The sequence below is a fragment of the Homo sapiens genome, chromosome 11 (assembly GCF_000001405.40).
Source record: "Homo sapiens chromosome 11, GRCh38.p14 Primary Assembly".
Classification (NCBI taxonomy): Eukaryota; Metazoa; Chordata; class Mammalia; order Primates; family Hominidae; genus Homo; species Homo sapiens.
Genome location: NC_000011.10, coordinates 5913217 through 5935303, shown reverse-complemented (window position 1 = coordinate 5935303; position 22087 = coordinate 5913217). Strand labels below are relative to the sequence as shown.

Below are 22087 nucleotides of genomic sequence, written 5' to 3'. Positions count from 1 at the left end.
GGTGGGATAGGCTTCAATCCAACCTGAGAAAGTATCTACTAGAGTAAGAAGATAACGGAACTTTTTTTTTTTTTTTAATTTATTTATTTTTTATTGATAATTCTCGGGTGTTTCTCACAGAGGGAGATTTGGCAGGGTCATAGGACAATAGTGGAGGGAAGGTCAGCAGATAAACAAGTGAACAAAGGTCTCTGGTTTTCCTAGGCAGAGGACCCCGCGGCCTTCCGCAGTGTTTGTGTCCCTGGGTACTTGAGATTAGGGAGTGGTGATGACTCTTAACGAGCATGCTGCCTTCAAGCATCTGTTTAACAAAGCACATCTTGCACCGCCCTTAATCCATTTAACCCTGAGTGAACACAGCACATGTTTCAGAGAGCACAGGGTTGGGGGTAAGGTCACAGATCAACAGGATCCCACGGCAGAAGAAGTTTTCTTAGTACAGAACATAATGAAAAGTCTCCCATGTCTACTTCTTTCTACACAGACACGGCAACCATCCGATTTCTCAATCTTTTCCCCACCTTTCCCGCCCTTCTATCCACAAAGCCTCCATTGTCATCTTGGCCCGTTCTCAATGAGCTGTTGGGCACACCTCCCAGACGGGGTGGTGGCCGGGCAGAGGTGCTCCTCACATCCCAGACGGGGTGGCGGGGCAGAGGCGCTCCCCACATCTCAGACGATGGGCGGCCGGGCAGAGACGCTCCTCACTTCCTAGATGTGATGGCAGCCAGGAAGAGGTGCTCCTCACTTCCTAGGTGGGATGGCGGCCGGGCGGAGACGCTCCTCACTTTCCAGACTGGGCAGCCAGGCAGAGGGGCTCCTCACATCCCAGACGATGGGCGGCCAGGCAGAGACGCTCCTCACTTCCCAGACGGCGTGGCAGCCGGGCAGAGGCTGCAATCTTGGCACTTTGGGAGGCCAAGGCAGGCAGCTGGGAGGTGGAGGTTGTAGCGAGCCGAGATCACGCCACTGCACTCCAGCCTGGGCACCATTGAGCACTGAGTGAACGAGACTCCGTCTGCAATCCCGGCACCTCGGGAGGCCGAGGCTGGCGGATCACCTGCGGTTAGGGACTGGAGACCGGCCTGGCCAACACGGCGAAACCCCGTCTCCACCAAAACCAGTCAGGCGTGGCGGCGCGAGCCTGCAATCGCAGGCACTCGGCAGGCTGAGTCAGGAGAATCAGGCAGGGAGGTTGCAGTGAGCCAAGATGGCAGCAGTACAGTCCAGCTTCGGCTCAGCATGAGAGGGAGACCGTGGAAAGAGAGGGAGAGGGAGACCGTGGGGAGAGGGAGAGGGAGAGGAAGAGGGAGAGCTCCTAATTTTGTATTTTTAGTAGAGACGGGGTTTCTTCATGTTGCTCAGGCTGTGTCTTGAACTCCCGATCTCAGGTGATCTGCCCGCCTCGGCCTCTCAAAGTCCTGGGATTACAGGCGTGATCCACTGCACCTGGCCCCAAGCTGCCGATCTCATCTGAAAACAAAGAGACCCATCTTGGCTGGGGGAGTCAGGGAGGGCTTTCCCTGTAGAGGAGTCTGAGGAGCTGAAATCTGAAGGACCAGGAGCGATAACGGAACTTTTTGTGTCTAGGCATGTGGGTGAAGTCAACTTGCCAGTCTTCTCCTGGCTGATGTTCTCTTAGCTGGTGACAGGGACCTGGGAGCTTAAGTTTTCCCTGAGGGTTTGCCACTGTGCAAACATGGCATTCCTGATGTATTTGCTTCAGTAAGGAATAAAGGGAAGGATGGTAGATTATGGGTTCAAGAAAGTTATATAAAGCCTTTGGGCCTATATGTAACGAACGGTGCATGTCGGTGAGGATGAGTTTCTTCTGACTGCACGGGAGAACTACTCTATCATCCACGAATATCCAGCCCTGATTACTCTTGTTAGGGGTGTGGCTATGAAAGCGCTCATTGGAGTTGGTTTTTACTCCTGAGTGACCCATGAGGTGGACTAGCTCTTCAGGGGAGTAATCGGGAGTGTAAGCAGGAGAGAGGAAGCACACAGGAGTGGGGGAAGGGGCCAAGAGGGCCGTGGCCCGGGCAGTGGTGTTGGCGAAATTGTTGCCTAATGATATAGGGTCTTTAGAATTTTGGTGGCTTTTGCAATGGATGATGGCTACCTGTGTGGGGGCTTTTAGCACCTGGATGAGTTTCTCAATGAGGGGTCCATTGACAATAGGAGTACCTTTAGTGGTAAGGAACCCCCGTTCCTGCCAGAGAATGGAGTAGGTATGCGCTATTAAGTAGGCATACTTGGAATCAGTGTATATGTTTACTTTTTTGTTTTTAGATAGAATTAGAGCTCTAGTAAGAGCTATGAGTTCTGCCTTCTGGGAGGTTATACCAGTGGGAAGTGGTTTGGCCTCAACTACTTGAGATGAGGTGACCACGGCGTATGCCGCTCGTCGTTGGCCCTGCGGCGTGGAGATGGAGCTACCATCCACAGACAGGGTCTGATGGGGATCTAGGATGGGGTTGTCTTGGAGGCTTAGGTGCGCGGGGGGTAGGGTTGATAGGATTTAAGAACACGAGTGTAAGGATGCAGGGTCCTTTTCTGGGCAGGGGAGGAGGGTAGCTGGGTTTAAAGTTGGAGAGGTAGTAAGTGTGATGTGTGGGTTTTCAATAAACAGGAGATGAAATAGCTGGAGTCTGGAGGGGGTCAGGTGACTCAGGCACTTGTGTGAGAGTAAGTCTTGTAGCCTATGTGAGGAGAAAACAGTGAGAGGGTGCCCTAAGGTAAGCTTAAGAGCCTCTTTGGTGAGTTTCGCTGCCGCAGCCAAAGCCTGCAGGCACGGCTGCCAGCCCTGGACAGTGGGCTCGAGCTGCTTGGAAAGGTAGGCTACTGGCTGGTGTGTTCTTCCTACCAGTTGGGCCAGGAGCCCTGTAGCAACCTTTTCCCGCTCATCGGTAAAGAGATGGAATGGGCGTAGCGGGTTTGGGAGTGAGAGGACTGGGGCTGTTATGAGGCAATTTTTAAGCTTATTGAAAAGATTGGCTACTAGTTTTGGCTCAGACAGTGGGCCAAGGGGGGTCTGTTTGGTGGCCTGATACAGGGGCCTTGCTAGGACTCCGAAATTGGGGACCCAATGTCTGAAAAAGCCGACTAGCCCCAAGAAGGAGAGAATATCTTCAGCATCTTGTGGAGGCTGAAGATTTTGTAAAAGGCTGATTCTGTCTGAGGTTAGGCCTTTTGAGTTTGGGGTGAGACGTATACCTAAGTAGGTGACTTTAGAGGTACATAGTTGGGCTTTGGACGGGGTGACTCTATAGCCTCAGTTTCCTAGGAAGTTTAAGAGAGTACAAGTGTCCTTAAGGCAATCTGTCTCAGAGGGGCTGCAAAGGAGCAGGTCATCAACATATTGGATAACAGTACTGGCCTCCAAAGGGCAGCGAGCGAGGTCTTGGGCCAGTGCCTGTCCAAAGAAATGAGGGCTGTCTCTAAACCCCTGTAGCAGAACCGTCCAGGTGAGTTGTTTAGAGACGCCAGTGTCTGGGTCCTCCCATGTGAAAGCAAAGAGGAAGTAACAAGCGGGGTCTAGTGGGATAGAGAAAAAGGCATCTTTAAGGTCCAGAACAGTGAAGTGAGACCTGTTGGGGGGGATGCGAGAGAGGAGTGTGTATGGATTAGGAACTACCGGGACTGTAGGGATGACTGCCTCGTTGATGAGGCGAAGATCTTGTACTAGACGGTAAGTCCCAGAGGCTTTTCGTACCGGCAGAATAGGAGTATTGCAAGGAGAATTAGTGGTAATTAGGATGTGTTGTTGTAGAAGCCGAATAATAATGGGTTTTAGTCCTCGACGGTGCTCTAAGGAAATGGGGAACTGAGGTCGGGCAGGGAACTTGAGTGGGTCCTTTAACTTAATAAGGACTGGCTTATGGTGTGTGGCAACAACGGGAGTGTTGGTGTCCCAAACTTTGGGGTCAACGGGGGTAGGGAAGACTAATGGCAGGGTTGGAGAGGCCTGGGCTGCTGTATCGGCTGAGAGGAGGGGTAGGAGAAGAGCTAGGTGGGTGGATGGGCCGGGCCGGAAGACTACTGAGGCTCCTAACTTGGTCAGGAGATCTCTCCCTAGGAGAGGGACTGGACATGAAGGGATGATGAGGAAAGAGTGTGTGAAGAACGAGTGGTCTAGGCGGCAGGGCAGTGAAGGTGTCTGGCGGTAGGTGGAGGGAGTGCCATCAATCCCCATAACAGAGATTGAGGAGGGTTGGCTGGGCCCACTAAAAGATGGCAAAACAGAGTAGGTAGCCCCTGGGTCCAGTAAAAAGGAAATGGACTTACCTGCTACCTGAAGCATTACCCTGAGCTTGGCAAGGGTGAGAGGGGTTCCCGAGTCTGGGCCTCTTCAGTCATCGTCCAGTTGGAGGAGCTGGAAGGCGCCTTCACCATCCGGGGAGGGGTCGCCATGTGGAGACACAGCGGCCGCTCTGAGGCCGGGGCAGTCTGACCTCCAGTGCCCCATTTGTCGGCAGTTAGGGCACGGGCGCATTGGCGGCTTGGGGTTTGGGCACTGCTTTGCCCAATGACCTGGATTGCCGCACTTGAAACAGTTGTAAGGCAGGCAGGACGGTTGCTGTTGGCTAGGGCACCGGCTGGCCCAGTGTCCCGAGTTGCCGCACTTGAAGCAGGCGCCAGATGGGGCCCGGGAGATTGTACCTCTACCTTTCTTGCCTGGGCTCTTAGGGAATGCCGGTTGCACGGCAGCCGCCAGGGCCTGGGTTTGGAGCTGAACTTTTTGTTTTAATCTTGCCTGTTGTTGTACCTCAGCCGCCTCCTCTCGGGAATTAAAAACTTTGAACGCCAGCTTTACTAAGTCCTGAATAGGGGTTTGGAGGCCTTCCTCCGCCTATTTTAGTTTTTTTCTAATATCTCTTGCTGACTGGGAAATAAAATATGTTGCCAAGATGGTTGCCCCTGCAGGGGAGGCCGGATCTAGGCGGGTATAGTGGACTAAGGCATCAGTCAGCCGATTTAGGAAGACTGCCGGATTTTCATCCGGGTATTGTACAATTTCCTTTAGTTTGTCAAAGTTGACTGATTTATTGGAGGCCACCTGCATCCCTGCCAGGAGGCATTGAACCATTATGTCCCGGCGGCGACGCCCTGCTTGCCCAACTTGGTAATCCCACTCTGGATCGGTGGATGGAACCGCCTGTGTTCCAACGGGTACGTTGGGGTCTGTTAGATGTAATTGATTGGCATGCTGCCGTGCTGCAATTAGAATGCGTTCTCTTTCCTCAGGGGAAAGGGTGGAGGTAAGAATAATATGGATATCGTGCCAAGTGAGGTCATAAACCTGACAGAGATAGTGAAATTCTTTTGTGAAAAGAGTAGGGTTGGTGGAGAAAGAGCCTAGGTGTCTTTCTATTTTGGACAAATCAACGAGGGAGAAAGGCACATGAACTCGAACAATGCCTTCTGCTCCAGCCACTTCGCGCAGCGGGGCAAGGAGTGCCGGCCTGGCCTGGGTGTGTGCGGCCACAGGGGACTTGGGAGGGGCAGGTGAGGGTAGTGGTGGAGGAGGAGGAGATGATGGAGGTGGAGGAGGAGGTGGCGTGATTGGCGAAGGAGGGACCCGTGAGGAAGTGGGCGGTGCGTGACCTGAAGGTGGAGCCGAGGGGGGTGGGGAAGCGTATGGTGGCGGCAGAGCATGGGCTGCAGTTTGGAGGGGAGGGGAAGATAAGTTATCTATGGGGTCTGAGAGAGGAGAAAGATCATCTTTGTCCGGATCAGGAGAGGTTTTGGGAGAGGTTTTAGCTAAAAGGACTTGCACTAGTGAACACGGGGCGCAGAGGTCTGGTGGAGAGTGAAGGTCCCAGAACCCTTGAACATATTTGATTTCTGACCATTTGCCTTGCTTCTGACAAAAATTGGTAAGGTCGTTTAGGATATTGAAGTTGAGTGTGCCTTCGGGGGGCCAGCGAGATTGGTTGTCTAAGGTATATTGCGGCCAGGCAACTGTGCAGAAGAAAATTAGTCGCTTTCGTTTTAAATCTTGGTCGAGTTGTAAAGTTGGGAGGTTGCGCAGGAGGCACCCTAAGGGGGTGTTTTGCACGATTTTGGACTGGGTGGACCCCATCCCCTTCCCTTTATGGCCACGGTCTGAGGGACAGCAGAAGCATCCTTCTGGGGTCACTCAGACCACGTGGCTCCTGGAGCCTCGGATCGGCTACTTCAGACACAGACGTCTCCGAGTAGTCAGTGCCGATTTGGACTTCCCCTGGGGAAGTAAACTTGGGTCACCTGGTGGCCCGGACTGGCCTTCCCTTGAGGAAGGAAACTTTCCCTGGGCATGTGCATGACTCTCAGCCAGGGAGGAACAGACAAAAGGAAAAAGGAGGGGTACTCACCCAGCGTCAGCCGAATTGGACTGGAGTGGCTGCAGCAGCTGCAACCTGGTGGCAAGTAACCGAACGAAACGGATGGGTAGCCGTGGGGAAGAAGCCTGATCTGACCAGGAGGGGAGTCCCCTCGAGCCTCTGGGGGGCTTAGGAGGTGTCCCTTCCCGGGTTTTGGCACCAATGAAAGGCAATGGAAGGGCACCGTGGATCAATAAGGCCGAGAGGCGAGACAAAGAGGGCAAAAATCTTCTTAATTGAGCTCTCCGGCGAGGTTCAGTGGTCTGCAGGGGGAGGGTCAGGGAAGTCGCGCTGTGCCAAAGGTGCAGCGCGCTTATATAGATGAGTGATGTGCCTTAGTGATGTGCTTTAGTGGGCATGCGTGTTCACTGAGGCGGCGGGAACAAGAAAGGTGGACCCGGAAATGCTGAGTCAGGGTATCCGAGGTGGCTGCCGAGATGGCGGGAATAAATGGCGGGAACAGGTGAAAATGCCAAGTCAGGGTAGCCAAGATGGCCGCTGGGATGGCGGGAACTGGCGAATCCAGGAATGCTGAGTCAGGGCAGTCAAGATGGCTGCAATCTTGGGGTCTTCACTGGGATCCAATCAGTAAGAAAGTGGGAAATCCGAGGAAAAGGAAGACGCTGAAGGAATACAATGGAAGAAATTAATGAGACTAGGATTAGGAGGATCAAAAGGCAAAACAGAATAGGGAGACATGAAGGCGAAATGGGGAGAGAGCCCACTGCAAGCAACGCCTCCAATCCCTGCTGCAGCGGCAGAAGCAGAGGGAGAGCTGGAGGAGTCTTGAACCCCTAAATCCATAGTCCGTGTTGCTTTGAAGGAACCTCCGGGCCCATCTTGGAAGAATGTGTGCAGAGCAGCAGGCTGGTTTCAAAGCAGGACTCCACCCTGTTGAGCACACAGCCTCTCACTGAACCTGTTTCACCTGACTCTCCCTTCCACTCCAGGTGCTCTTTCAGGATGCAAACCTTTCCCATTCCAAATTTGGAATAAAGTAGCAACACACTGCTGTTTTCAGTTTTCTGTACAAACATGAAAATTCTGAATGCAGAAAAACTTAAGAAATGAATTAAGGAATGAAAATATTTACAATTTAATTGGTAGGGCTTTATTTGATAAAATTAAGATATTCTGCGACAGATACATCGTTGTATGCAACACCATTGCAAGATTTAGATATGATATGTAAAGTTCATTTATTTTCAAATTACAGTAATTGGTTTAAGATTTTAGTGACAATTCTAGTTACTACTACTTTAGCAGAATGAAGTTTTCTAAATTTAAATTAGGAAAAAAAATCTACTTTAAGACTACAGTGATTCAAGAAGAGTTTATCTAATTTGGCTTTAATGTCAACAGAATATTTATCATGTAAAAATCTGGACTTCAGTAACAATGACTTTGTGGAAATAAAAGTAATAAAAATAAATTTTTCAGAATAAACTTATAATTAACTAATGATTTTTAGATGTCACTTGATGTGTTAGATCCACTGTTTATGAATAGAACCTCCTGACATATGTAATCTTACATATAAAATAAATATTGTTTTGTAATTCAAATTTTAGCCTTACCACTTGAGTATTTTATATTAATGAGTTTATCTTGACATGATACATTGCAACACGGCTTATTGCTCTGAAAATTCAAAAGTTTTCTATGTTGAATCCAAGAACAAATGAAAATGTCTTTCTTTTAGACATTTGTTTTGTTGTGGAGTGTTATGGAAGATACCTGTGAGCATGCTATTATATGAATCCTTAGAGAGACCATGATCAATATTGAAAGACTTTGGGAATGCAGTGATTATGGCCTAAAGAGTATATGTGGTCAAGTGAAGAGTAAATTTAACATGTCCAGAAAATGAATTATTGTTCACATTTTCCTGCATATTCTGATCAAGAATTGCATTTGTGGTCACCATCAACTGAGAAGGGTAAGAACCTTTGAGAAGGTGAACAGAAGCCAGCATCTGTGGGCGACACAATGGATAATGCATTGTCATGAGTAATGCTGAGGCTAGTATTAAATAAATGCTACTAGGGTATTGTGGAGGCAAGAAGATCTGTATAATTTCCTCAAAACATATTCCAAAGGGTCATAGTATTGTGAATAATAGCAGCATTGCTTCAATTTTCTTGTGATGGAAAATACAGAATTAGTTAGGAATGGCACATTTGACAGTTTAAGATAGTGAAGAAATGCTGCCTGTATTGAACTGGAAGAAATGGCACCTTGAGACTGCAAAGTATCTTTATGTAAACTGATTGGACAATATATATATATATAAGAATTTTTCTCTAACCATTATTCTACCACATTCAGCTCCCACTTATGAGTGAGAACATGTGGTATTTGGTTTTCTGTTCCTGCATTAGTTTGCTGAGGATAACGGCTTCCAGCTCCATCCATGTACCTGCAAAGGACATGACCTCATTCCTTTTTATGGCTGCATAGTATTCCATGGTGTACATGTACCATATTTTCTTTACCCAGAGTCTATCCTTGATGGGCATTTGGGTTAATTCCATGTCTTTGCTATTGTGAATAGTGCTGCAATGAATATATATATGCATGCATCTTTATAATAGAATGGTTTATATTCATTTGGGTATATATCCAGTAACAGGATTGCTGGGTCAAATGGTATTTTTGCCTCTAGGTCTTTGAAGAATCACCACACTATCTTCCACAATGGTTGAACTAATTTACACTTCTACCAACAGTGTAAAAGCATTCCTTTTCCTCTGCAACCTTACCAGCAGCTGTTGTTTCTTGACTTCTTAGTAATCACCACTCTGACTGGCTTGAGATGGTATCTCATTGTGGTTTCAATTTACTTTTCTCTAATGATCAGTGATGTTGAGCTTTTTTTCATGTTTGTTGGTCACATAAATATTTTCTTTTAAGAAGTGTCTGTTCATGTCCTTTGCCTACTTTTTAATGGGGCAGTTTGTTTTTTTCTTGTAAATTTGTTTAGATTCCTTGTAGACTTTGGATATTAGACCTTTGTCTAATATCTAGATGGATAGATTGCACACTTTTTCTCCCATTCTGTAGGTTATATGTTCACTCTGATGATAGTTTCTTTTGCGTACAGAAGCTCTTTAGTTTCATTAGATCCCATCTGTCAATTTTTGTTTATGTTGCAGTTGCTTTTGACATTTTTGTCATGAAATCTTTGTCCATGCCTATGCCCTGAATGGTATTACTCAGATATTCTTCTAAGGTTTTTATAGTTTTGGGTTTTACATTTAAGTCTTTAATCCATTTTGAGTTAATTTTTGTGTAAGGTGTAAGGAAGGGGTTCACTTTCAATTTTCTCCATATGGCTAGTCAGTTCACTGAGCACCATTTATTAAATAGGGAATCCTTTCCACATTTGTTTTTGTCCAGTTTGTCGAAGATCAAACGATTGTAGGTGTGCGGTCTTATTTCTGAGTTCTCTATTCTGCTTCATTGGTTTACGTGTCTGTTTTTGTACCAGTACCATGCTGTTTTGGCTACTGTAAATTTGTCAAAAGTATTTCCTTCAATCTATCCTTCAAACTTTTATTGACTGGATCCAGTGACAGAAAGGGAATGGCTTTTTCTGACAGATCCTTTTTGTATTAGCATTTCGTTTTTAGAGATTCTTTAGATTGAACTGAGATATGTTATTCTCCGTCTCATCACTCTTATACACGTCTTTGTTTTCTAGTCTTTTTTACAATACAAAGTGAGTTTATTTCTTCCCCTGAATAAATAAATCAAGTATTTATACACAGACATTTTTCTTGTAGGGCTACTAGAGTTCCAGATTTCAGACTAAAAACGTTCAATTTCTTTAATTGGTTCCCATTTTTCAGCTATCCCAACACATTTGTTAATTTTCCATGGAAAAGCTCCAGCTTATCTACAATCCTGTGCAACAAGCCCCCAGAGGAAGCCACAGCATTTAAGAAGGGTCCTGTTATTACACAGGACACAGTGTCTACTACCTCCTTGACATCTGGGAGTTTGATTATTAAATACCTTGAGGTAGTCTTCTTTGGGTCAAATCTGCTTGGTATTCTATAACCTTTTTGTACTTGAATGTTAATATCTTTCTCTTGGTTTGGGGAGTTCTCTAACATCATCTCTTTGAATAAACTTTCTATCTTTATCTCTTTCTCTACCTCCTCTTTAAGGACAATATCTCTTAGATTTTCACTTTTCGGGTTTTTTTTTTCTAGATATTGTAGGTGTGCTTCATTGTCTTTTATTTTTTTTGTTTCCTCCGACTATTTTCACATAGCCTGTTTTCAAGTTCACTAATTCTTTCTTCTTCTTAATCAGTTCTGCTATTAAGAGACTCTGATGCACTTTAGTATGTCAATTGCATTTTTCAACTCTAGAATTTCTGCTTGATTCTGTTTAATTATTTCCATCTGTTTGTTAAATTTATCTGATAAAATTTTGAATTCCTTCTGTGTTATCTTGAATTTCTTTTGAGTTTTCTCAGAACAGCTACCTTGAATTCTCCATCTGAAAGATTACATATCTCTGTTTCTCCAGGATTGCTCCCTGGTGCCTTATTTAGTTCATTTGTTGAGGCCATGTTTTCCTGGATGGTGTTGATGCTTTAGATGTTCTTCAGTGTCTGGGCATTGAAGAGTTAGGTATTTATTGTGGTCTCCACAGTCTCTTTGTACCTATCCTTCAATTTCCAGGTAATTAAAAGGACTTGGGGCCCAAACCCAATAATACTTGTTTTTTGCAGACTTGTAGAGGTATGACCTTGGTGGTCTTGGATATGTTTCAGAATAATTATCTGGATTACCAAACAAAGATTCTTTTTCTTTTCCCTTACTTTTCTCAAACATATGGAGTCTCTGTCTCTGTGCTGAGCCATCTGGATCTGGGAGTGTGGTGATGCAAGCATCCCTGGGCCACCAGCACTGGGACTGTGATGAGTCAGACCTGACATCAGCACAGCATTGTGCCTTGCTTAAGACCCTTCCCTTCTGGGTGCTGAGTTCCCCCAGGATCTGGGTATGTCCAAAGATGCTATCTGGGAGCCAGGGATTAGAGTCAAAAACCTTAGTAGTTTTCCTGATGTTCTATCTTAGTACAACTAAGCTAGCACTCAAACCACAATACAAAGTTTTTCACACTCATGCATCCCCTTTCCACAGGCAGGAAAGCCTCTCCCACAGGCCTCTCCCTGTGGCCACTGTCACCACCAGTCTACAAGATAACTGCTCAGCCACCACCAATGTTCACTTAAAGCCCAAGAGCTCTTTAGTCAGCTTATGGTGAATGCTGCCAGGCCTGGGACTCACCCTTCAGGGCAGGGGGCTCCCCTCTAGCCCAGGCAGGTCCAGAAATGTTGTCTAAGAGCCTAGGCCTGGACTTAGGGACTCCAAGAGGCTGCTTGTTACTCTACCCCACTATGACCAAGCTGGTACCTGGAGTGCAAGAGAAAGTTACCCTTTACTTTTACCTCTGATTTCCTCAAACAGGAGGTGTTTTATTATTTTTATTTTTATTTTTACCATAACCACTAAAGCTAGGAATGTGCTAGGTCACCCTTGAAGCCAGCATGTATGTCTGAAGGCCCAAGGCCCATGGCATACTCCCTGGGTATTTCTGGTGGTTATTCAGAACACAAGGGCTCGTTAGTCAGCAGATGATGAGTCATGCCAGGATCAGGTCTTTCCCTTCAAGGTTGGGGGTTTCCATCTTGGCCCAGGGTGTGTCTAGAAATGTTGTCTGGGAGTTAGGGCTTGTAATGGAGGCCTCATGACTCTGCCTGGTGCCCTCTCTGTGGCTGAGCTGGTATCCAAAATGCAAGACAAAGCCCTCTTTACTCTTTGCTCTCCTCTCCATAAGCAGAAGGAAGGAGTCACCTTCATTGCTGCAAGCTGCACTGCCTGGGGTTTGGGAAAGAATGTGCAAGCCCTCCCTTAGCCATGCCATCTGGTGTCTCCCTAGGTCACATGACTCCCTAATTCACTGACTCTAAGCCCAGCCTGGCACTAGGAGTTGCCTAGAAATTTCAGTTCTTGTGTTCTAGACTGCCTTTCAAGTTTACCTAGGACCCTAGAGCACTTTGGCCCACAGTGGCAAGGCTTGCCAAGAAACTCAAGTTCTGACCACTGGTATGGGCAATTCCTCTCTGGCTAGGGCTGGTCCATATGCTCCCGCCATCTGTGGGTGCTGGCTGGGCCCAGCACAGCTTTATTCTCTGCTGTGAAAGGGCAGCACTGAGTTCAGTGTAAAGTCTCCCAGTCAATGCATTCTTCCTCCCCAAAGTTAACAGATTCTCTCTCCACAAAGCACAGCCGCTGCCATTTGTAGGGGGTGAGGGGGTAATGAGGGAGGAGTGGAATCTGATTTAAGACTGTCTCTCTTGCCCTCCTCAATGCCTCTTTCCATCGTATAAAGTTTAAAACAGGTACTGTGACTGCTCACCTGATTTTGAGTTCTTGTGATAGTGCTCTTCTGTGTGCAGATAGTTGTTAAAATTTGGTGTTCCAGCTGGGGGGATGAAAGGGGTAGGCATGTATTCTGCCATCTTCAGATTAGATAATTTTTATCATGCCATCTTCAAGTTCACTGGCTCATTGTTCTGTCATATCCACTTTGCTGCTCAGCACATTCAGTAGATTTTTAATGTAAGGTGTATTTTTCTGTTTTAGAATTTTCACTTGTTTTTAAGATATTATTTCGCTTCTAAAATTTATTATCTTTTCATTTATCACTATATATTTTCCTTCACTTCAATGGGCATAGATATATTAGCTTTCTGAAATTTCTCAGTGGCTAATTTGATATTTGAGTAATCTTGAATTTGGTCTTTGGTCTCATTTGATTATGTTTTCTATTGAGACCAGATTATTGTTTTCTAGTTCTTTGTATGTCGGGAAATTTAGGATAGTGTGCTGAATACTGTAAATGTTATGTTGTGGATGCTATGGATTCTGTTATAGTCTTCCAAACAGTGTTGAAGTGTTTGTTTTAGCAGGGGAATTAACCTGGTTCAATGCAATCTACAAAATCATGCTCTTGAATAGCAGTTCAAATACTAACTCACCTCTTTTATTTTTTATTTATTTTTATTATTATTATACTTTAAGTTTTAGGGTACATGTGCACAATGTGCAGGTTTGTTACATATGTATACATGTGCCATGTTGGTGTGCTGCACCCATTAACTTGTCATTTAGCATTAGGTATATCTCCTAATGCTATCCCTCTCCCCTCCCCCCACCCCACAACAGGCCCTGGTGTGTGATGTTCCCCTTCCTGTGTCCATGTGTTCTCATTGTTCAATTCCCACCTATGAGTGAGAACATGCGGTGTTTGGTTTTTTTGTCCTTGTGGTAGTTTGCTGAGAATGATGGTTTCCAGCTTCATCCATGTCCCTACAAAGGACATGAACTCTTCATTTTTTATGGCTGCATAGTATTCCACGGTGTATATGTGCCACATTTTCTTAATCCAGTCTATCGTTGTTGGACATTTGGGTTGGTTCCAAGTCTTTGCTATTGTGAATAGTACCGCAATAAACATACGTGTGCATGTGTCTTTACAGCAGCATGATTTATAATCCTTTGGGTATGTACTCAGTAATGGGATGGCTAGGTCAAATGGTATTTCTAGTTCTAGATCCCTGAGGAATCGCCACACTGACTTCCACAATGGTTGAACTAGTTTACAGTCCCACCAAGAGTGTAAAAGTGTTCCTATTTCTCCACATCCTCTCCAGCACCTGTTGTTTCCTGACTTTTTAATGATCACCATTCTAACTGGTGTGAGATGGTGTCTCATTGTAGTTTTGATTTGCATTTCTCTGATGGCCAGTGATGATGTGCATTTTTTCATGTGTTTTTTGGCTGCATAAATGTCTTCTTTTGAGAAGTGTCTGCTCATATCCTTTGCCCACTTGTTGATGGGTTTGTTTGTTTTTTTCTTGTAAATTTGTTTGAATTCATTGTAGATTCTGGATATTAGCCCTTTGTCAGATGAGTAGGTTGCAAAAATTTTCTCCCATTTTGTAGGTTGCCTGTTCACTCTGATGGTAGTTTCTTTTGCTGTGCAGATGCTCTTTAGTTTAATTAGATCCCATTTGTCAATTTTGGCTTTTGTTGCCATTGCTTTTGGTGTTTTAGACATGAAGTCCTTGCCCATGCCTATGTCCTGAATGGTATTGCCTAGGTTTTCTTCTAGGGTTTTTATGGTTTTAGATCTAACATGTAAGTCTTTAATCCACCTTGAATTAATTTTTGTGTAAGGTGTAAGGAAGGGATCCAGTTTCAGCTTTCTACATATGGCTAGCCAGTTTTCCCAGCACCATTTATTAAATAGGGAATCCTTTCCCCATTGCTTATTTTTGTCAGGTTTTTCAAAGATCATATGGTTGCAGATATGCGGCATTATTTCTGAGGGCTCTGTTCTGTTCCATTGGTCTAGATCTCTGTTTTGGTACCAGTATCATGCTGTTTTGGTTACTGTAGCCTTGTAGTATAGTTTGAAGTCAGGTAGCGTGATGCCTCTAGCTTTGTTCTTTTGGCTTAGGATTGACTTGGTGATGCGGGCTCTTTTTTGGTTCCATATGAACTTTAGTTTTTTCCAATTCTGTGAAGAAAGTCATTGGTAGCTTGATGGGGATGGCATTGAATCTATAAATTACCTTGGGCAGTATGGCCATTTTCACGATATTGATTCTTCCTACCCATGAGCATGGAATGTTCTTCCATTTGTTTGTATCCTCTTTTATTTCATTGAGCAGTGGTTTGTAGTTCTCCTTGAAGAGGTCCTTCACATCCCTTTTAAGTTGGATTCCTAGGTATTTTATTCTCTTTGAAGCAATTGTGAATGGGAGTTCACTCATGATTTGGCTCTCTGTTTGTCTGTTATTGGTGTATAAGAATGCTTGTGATTTTTGCACATTGATTTTGTATCTTGAGACTTTACTGAAGTTGCTTATCAGGTTAAGGAGATTTTGGGCTGAGACGATGGGGGTTTTCTAGATATACAATCATGTCATCTGCAAACAGGGACAATTTGACTTCCTCTTTTCCTAATTGAATACCCTTTATTTCCTTCTCCTGCCTAATTGCCCTGGCCATAACTTCCAACACTATGTTTCACATCGTCCCATATTTCTTGGAGGCTTTGTTCATTTCTTTTTATTCTTTTTTCTCTGAACTTCCCTTCTCGCTTCATTTCATTTATTTCATCTTCCATCACTGATACCCCTTCTTCCAGTTGATCACATCAGCTCCTGAGGCTTCTGCATTCTTCACGTAGTTCTTGAGCCTTGGCTTTCAGCTCCATCAGCTCCTTTAAGGACTTCTCTTCGTTGGTTCTTCTAGTTATCTATTTGTCTAATTTTTTTTCAAAGTTTTTAACTTCTTTGCCATTGGTTTGAATTTCCTCCTGTAGCTTGGAGTAGTTTGATCATCTGAAGCCTTCTTCTCTCAGCTCGTCAAAGTCTTTTTCCATCCAGCTTTGTTCCGTTGGTGGTGAGGAGCTGCATTCCTTTGGAGGAGGAGAGGCACTCTGCTTTTTAGAGTTTCCAGTTTTTCTGCTCTGTTTTTTCCCCATCTTTGTGGTTTTATCTACTTTTGGTCTTTGATGATGGTGACGTACAGAAGGGATTTTGGTGTGGATGTCCTTTCGGTTTGTTAGTTTCCCTTCTAACAGACAGGACCCTCAGCTGCAGGTCTGTTGGAGTTTGCTAGAGGTCCACTCCAGACCCTGTTTGCCTGGGTATCAGCAGCGGTGGCTGCAGAACAGCGGTGGCTGTAGAACAGCGGATCTTGGTGAACCACAAATGCTGCTGCCTGATTGTTCCTCTGGAAGTTTTGTCTCAGAGGAGTACCCAGCCATGTGAGGTGTCAGTCTGCCCCTACTTGAGGGTGCCTCCCAGTTAGGCTGCTCGGGGGTCAAGGACCAACTTGAGGAGGCAATCTGCCCGTTCTCAGATCTCCAGCTGTGTGCTGGGAGAACTGCTACTCTCTTCAAAGCTCAGATGGAAATGCAGAAATCACCCATCTTCTGCGTCGCTCACGCTGGGCCCTAGACTGGAGCTGTTCCTGTTCAGCCGTCTTGCTCACCTCTTATTTTTATCTGAATGTCTTTGTGTCTGCTTTATGCATGCTTGGTTCAGGAATTAACCAAAGACATGGCAAAGTTTATATATAGAATTTGAGCTTTCCATACTTGGCTTTATACTTTCTAAATTTTTGTCTTTCTTTCTAGCAGCTGTTGTTGTCCCAAACTTTGTCCTCTAATTCTCCATGACAGATAAAGAAAGACCGTTAGTTTGGCATTACAGTTTTAAGCACTCCATGTATGGCACTGATTTCATCATTCCCTCAGTCTAAAATCAATAACAATGATAAACTAAACCTATACCATTTTGTTATAAGACCAAGAGGTTTGTATGTCTACAGTTCATTAACAGAACCATTACACTAAGGTAGCAGGAATGCAGCAGAGATAGGATTATGTTGGGTGAGAGAGGGCATCCCTGTCTTTTGCCAGTTTTCAAAGGGAATGCTTCCAGTTTTTGCCCATTCAGTATGATATTGGCTGTGGGTTTGTCATAGATAGCTCTTATTATTTTGAGATACGTCCCATCAATACCTAATTTATTGAGAGTTTTTTTTAGCATGAAGGGTTGTTGAATTTTGTCAAAGGCCTTTTCTGCATCTATTGAGATAATCATGTGGTTTTTGTCTTTGGTTCTGTTTATATGCTGGATTACATTTATTGATTTGTGTATGTTGAACCAGGCTTGCATCCCGGGGATGAAGCCCACTTGATCATCGTGGATAAGTTTTTTGATGTGCTGCTGGATTCGGTTTGCCAGTATTTTACTGAGGATTTTTGCATCAATGTTCATCAAGGATATTGGCCTAAAATTCTTTTTTTTGGTTGTGTCTTTGCCAGGCTTTGGTATCAGGATGATGCTGGCCTCATAAAATGAGTTAGGGAGGATTCCCTCTTTTTCTATTGATTGGAATAGTTTCAGAAGGAATGGTACCAGCTCCTCCTTGTACTTCTGGTAGAATTCGGCTGTGAATCCATCTGGTCCTGGACTTTTTTTGGTTGGTAAGCTATTGATTATTGCCACAATTTCAGAGCCTGTGATTGGTCTGTTCAGAGATTCAACTTCTTCCTGGTTTAGTCTTGGGATAGTGTATGTGTCGAGGAATTTATCCATTTCTTCTAGATTTTCTAGTTTATTTGCATAGAGGTGTTTGTAGTATTCTTTGATGGTAGTTTGTATTTCTGTGGGATCAGTGGTGATATACCCTTTTTCATTTTTTATTGTGTCTATTTGATTCTTCTCTCTTTTCTTCTTTATTAGTCTTGCTAGCGGTCTACCAATTTTGTTGATCTTTTCAAAAAACTAATTCCTGGATTCATTGATTTTTTTGAAGGGTTTTTTGTGTCTCTATTTCCTTCAGTGCTACTCTGATCTTAGTTATTTCTTGCCTTCTGCTAGCTTTTGAATGTGTTTGCTCTTGATTCTCTAGTTCTTTTAATTGTGATGTTAGTGTGTCAATTTTAGATCTTTTCTGCTTTCTCCTGTGGGCATTTTGTGCTATAGATTTCCCTCTACACACTGCTTTGAATGTGTCCCAGAGATTCTGGTATGTTGTGTCTTTGTTCTCATTGATTTCAAATAACATCTTTATTTCTGCCTTCATTTTGTTATGTACCCAGTAGTCATTCAGGAGCAGGTTGTTCAGTTTCCATGTAGTTGAGTGATTTTGAGTGAACTTCTTATTCCTGAGTTCTTGTTTGATTGCACTGTGGTCTTAGAGACAGTTTGTTATAATTTCTGTTCTTTTACATTTGCTGAGGAGTGCTTTACTTCCAACTATGTGGTCAATTTTGGAATAGGTATGGTGCTGAAAAGAATGTATTTTATGTAGATTTGGGGTGGAGGGTTCTGTAGATGTCTATTAGGTCTGCTTGGTGCAGAGCTGAGTTCAATTCCTGGATATCCTTGTTAACTTTCTGTCTCGTTGATCTGTCTAATGTTGACAGTGGGGTGTTAAAGTCTCCCATTATTATTGTGTGGGAGTCTAAGTCTCTTTGTAGGTCACTAAGGACTTGCTTTATGAATCTGGGTGCTCCTGTATTGGGTGCATATATATTTAGGATAGTTAGCTCTTCTTGTTGAATTGATCCCTTTACCATTATGTAATGGCCTTCTTTGTCTCTTTTGATCTTTGTTGGTTTAAAGTCTGTTTTATCAGAGACTAGGATTGCAACCCCTGCCTTTTTTTGTTTTCCATTTTCTTGGTAGATCTTCCTCCGTCCCTTTATATTGAGCCTATGTGTGTCTCTGCACATGAGATGGGTTTCCTGAATACAGCACACTGATGAGTCTTGACTCTTTATCCAGTTTGCCAGTCTGTGCCTTTTAATTGGAGCATTTAGCCCATTTACATTTATGGTGAGTATTGTTATGTGTGAATTTGATCCTGTCATTATGATGTTAGCTGGTGATTTTGCTCGTTAGTTGATGCAGTTTCTTCCTAGCCTTGATGGTCTTTACAATTTGGCATATTTTTGCAGTGGCTGGTACCGGTTGTTCCTTTCCATGTTTAGTGCTTCCTTCAGGAGCTCTTTTAGGGCAGGCCTGGTGGTGACAAAATCTCTCAGCATTTGCTTATCTGTAAAGTATTTTATTTCTCCTTCACTTATGAAGCTTAGTTTGGCTGGATATGAAATTCTGGGTTGAAAGTTATTGTCTTTAAAAATGTTGAATATTGGCCCCCACTCTCTTCTGGCTTATAGAGTTTCTGCTGAGAGATCTGCTGTTAGTCTGATGGGCTTCCCTTTGTGGGTAACCCAACCTTTCTCTCTGGCTGCCCTTAACATTTTTTCCATTTCAACTTTGGTGAATCTGACAATTATGTGTCATGGAGTTGCTCTTCTTAAGGAGTATCTTTGTGGCGTTCTCTGTATTTCCTGAATCTGAATGTTGGCCTGCCTTGCTAGGTTGGGGAAGTTCTCCTGGATGGTATCCTGCAGAGTGTTTACCAACTTGGTTCCATTCTCCCTGTCACTTTCAGATACACCAATCAGACGTAGATTTGGTCTTTTCATATAGTCCCATATTTCTTGGAGGCTTTGTTCTTTCTTTTTATTCTTTTTTCTCTAAACTTCCCTTCACGCTTCATTTCATTCATTTCATCTTCCATTGCTCATACCCTTTCTTCCAGTTGATCGCATCGGCTCCTGAGGCTTCTGCATTCTTCACGTAGTTCTCGAGCCTTGGTTTTCAGCTCCATCAGCTCCTTTAAGCACTTCTCTGTATTGGTTATTCTAGTTATACATTCTTCTAAATTTTTTTCAAAGTTTTCAACTTCTTTGCCTTTGGCTTGAATATCCTCCCGTAGCTCAGAGTAATTTGATCGTCTGAAGCCTTCTTCTCTCAGCTCGTCAAAGTCATTCTCCATCCAGCTTTGTTCCGTTGCTGGTGAGGAACTGCGTTCCTTTGGAGGAGGACAGGTGCTCTGCTTTTTAGAGTTTCCAGTTTTTCTGTTCTGTTTTTTCCCCATCTTTGTGGTTTTATCTACTTTTGGTCTTTGATGATGGTGATGTACAGGTGGGTTTTTGGTGTGGATGTCCTTTCTGTTTGTTAGTTTTCCTTCTAACAGACAGGACCCTCAGCTGCAAGTCTGTTGGAATACCCTGCTGTGTGAGGTGTCAGTATGCCCCTGCTGGGGGGTGCCTCCCAGTTAGGCTGCTCGGGGTTCAGGGGTCAGGGACCCACTTGAGGAGGCAGTCTACCCGTTCTCAGATCTCCAGCTGCGTGCTGGGAGAACCACTGCTCTCTTCAAAGCTGTCAGACAGGAACATTTAAGTCTGCAGAGGTTTCTCCTTCCTTTTGTTTGGCTATGCCCTGCCCTCAGAGGTGGAGTCAGGCAGGCCTCCTTGAGCTGCGGTGGGCTCCACCCAGTTTGAGCTTCCACGCCACTTTGTTTACCTACTCAAGCCTTGGCAGTGGCGGGCACCCCTCCCCCAGCCTCACTGCCGCCTTGCAGTTTGATCTCAGACAGCTGTGCTAGCAATGAGCGAGGCTCCGTGGGTGTAGGACCCTCCAAGCCAAGCGCGGGATATAATCTCCTGGTGTGCCATTTGCTAAGACCATTGGAAAAGCACAGTATTAGGGTGGAAGTGACCCGATTTTCCAGGTGCTGTCTGTCACCCCTTTCTTTGACTAGGAAAGGGAATTCCCTGACCCCTTGCGCTTCCTGGGTGAGGCAGTGCCTTGCCCTGCTTTGGCTCACGCTCGGTGCGCTGCACCCACTGTCCTGCACCCACTTTCTGACACTCCCCAATGAGATGAACCCGGTACCTCAGTTGGAAATGCAGAAATCACCCATCTTCTGCATTGGTCACGCTGGGAGCTGTAGACTGGAGCTGTTCCTATTCGGCCATCTTCAAAAAGTTACCGTATTCTAACATTTTGCTATCATTAATATAAATCAGTAAACATTAGTTGAGCTATGCCCACAATCTTGTGAAAGACAATATTATAAATGTAAAAAAGTTAGGACTTGTGTCCTTTTGATATCAGTATGTACATTAGTAGAAAAATTATTTTCTTGTTTGCATTTACTGTCTACCTATGGTTTCCTAGTACATGCTAGTGTAAAAAGAGGGCTATCAAACAAACAAAAAGGATTGAGTGTGTTAGTTAGAAAAACATTATTTTCATTACTTATTCTGTTAAAACATATTATAATGTCTACTATATTAAAATACACTATAAAACATTCACTTAAAATCGCTTTTATGATGCTTTTAACTGTAAATTGAACTTCAGAGAAGTTTCTCGAGACATAAATCCTCAAAAATTTCTAAAATTATAACTGAATCATATGTATTAACTACTAAAATTTTAAATCAAAATGATTTTCCACAGTGGTCACTATTATATATAGTTACTTGATCAATGTTCGAAAACCATCTGAAATAAACACAAAAGAACTATTTATATAAACCATGTCATCTGAAGTTCAGCAGTGGTTGCAATAACACTTCAGCACAGAATTAGTTCTCTGGATTAATTTTACAGAGGTCCTGGTTGTTACTTGGTTTGTATTTTTATTTTCTTTTATTTTATTACTTTTCTGTTTTCCTAGTGATTCTGTGAGGTATCCATCATCTTTTCAATAATTTTTCTTTGCTTAAAATATCTAGAATTATTTTTTGTTGCTTGAAAGTAAGAATTCTGATTGAAATAGCAGTTAAAGAGGTATGGTGGATATTTCATGTAATAAATATTGAGCTTTTCTTATTTACAAAGATGAACTACATTGTTTTGTACTTTCATAAATGAAGGTGAAGTGGTAGTTAACACCTTGATGCTGGAATTATACTTCCTGGGTTCAAATTTTGGTTTCACTACTTGCTGTGTGTGAAGCCTTTATCAAGTTGTTTTTATGTCTTTGTGCATCTATTTCCTCCTCCGGAAAATAGTCATAAACTTAGCATGTATCTCATGTTAATTGCATTTATTAAATGATGTAACATGAATAATACTAATCATAGTGCCTGATATATGGTACTTTGTAAATATTATCTGTCCCCATTAATAGGAAGTATAATGTATAATGGAAAAGTAGGCATTGAGCCTCACTTCAATACAGTTGTGGTCAGTTATTTCAAAGAAAGAAACTTTCTGGGTGCTACAGTAGAAGCCTGTTACAGTGGAG

At 43.8% G+C, this 22087-nt stretch overlaps 1 long non-coding RNA gene across 7 annotated transcripts in view, besides 3 other annotated features; it reads left to right on the top strand.

Moving 5' to 3' along the window:
* The window catches only part of LOC112268071 (uncharacterized), a 57527-nt gene that overhangs the window by 3318 nt on the left and 32122 nt on the right, over positions 1–22087 (top strand). The window lies entirely within an intron of this gene.
* Positions 6215–7414: an enhancer, noted in NCBI's record as "CDK7 strongly-dependent group 2 enhancer chr11:5949120-5950319 (GRCh37/hg19 assembly coordinates)". NCBI's record gives its function as "activates an origin of replication core promoter dependent on BRD2, BRD4, P300/CBP, MED14 and CDK7 cofactors, with strong dependence on CDK7, by STARR-seq in HCT116 cells {active_cell/tissue: HCT116}" and the evidence as "EXISTENCE:reporter gene assay evidence [ECO:0000049][PMID:35650434]".
* Positions 11415–12614: an enhancer, noted in NCBI's record as "P300/CBP strongly-dependent group 1 enhancer chr11:5943920-5945119 (GRCh37/hg19 assembly coordinates)". NCBI's record gives its function as "activates an origin of replication core promoter dependent on BRD2, BRD4, P300/CBP, MED14 and CDK7 cofactors, with strong dependence on P300/CBP, by STARR-seq in HCT116 cells {active_cell/tissue: HCT116}" and the evidence as "EXISTENCE:reporter gene assay evidence [ECO:0000049][PMID:35650434]".
* Positions 11980–12169: an enhancer, noted in NCBI's record as "active region_4334". NCBI's record gives its function as "activates an Ori minimal core promoter by ATAC-STARR-seq in GM12878 lymphoblastoid cells {active_cell/tissue: GM12878}" and the evidence as "EXISTENCE:reporter gene assay evidence [ECO:0000049][PMID:35858748]".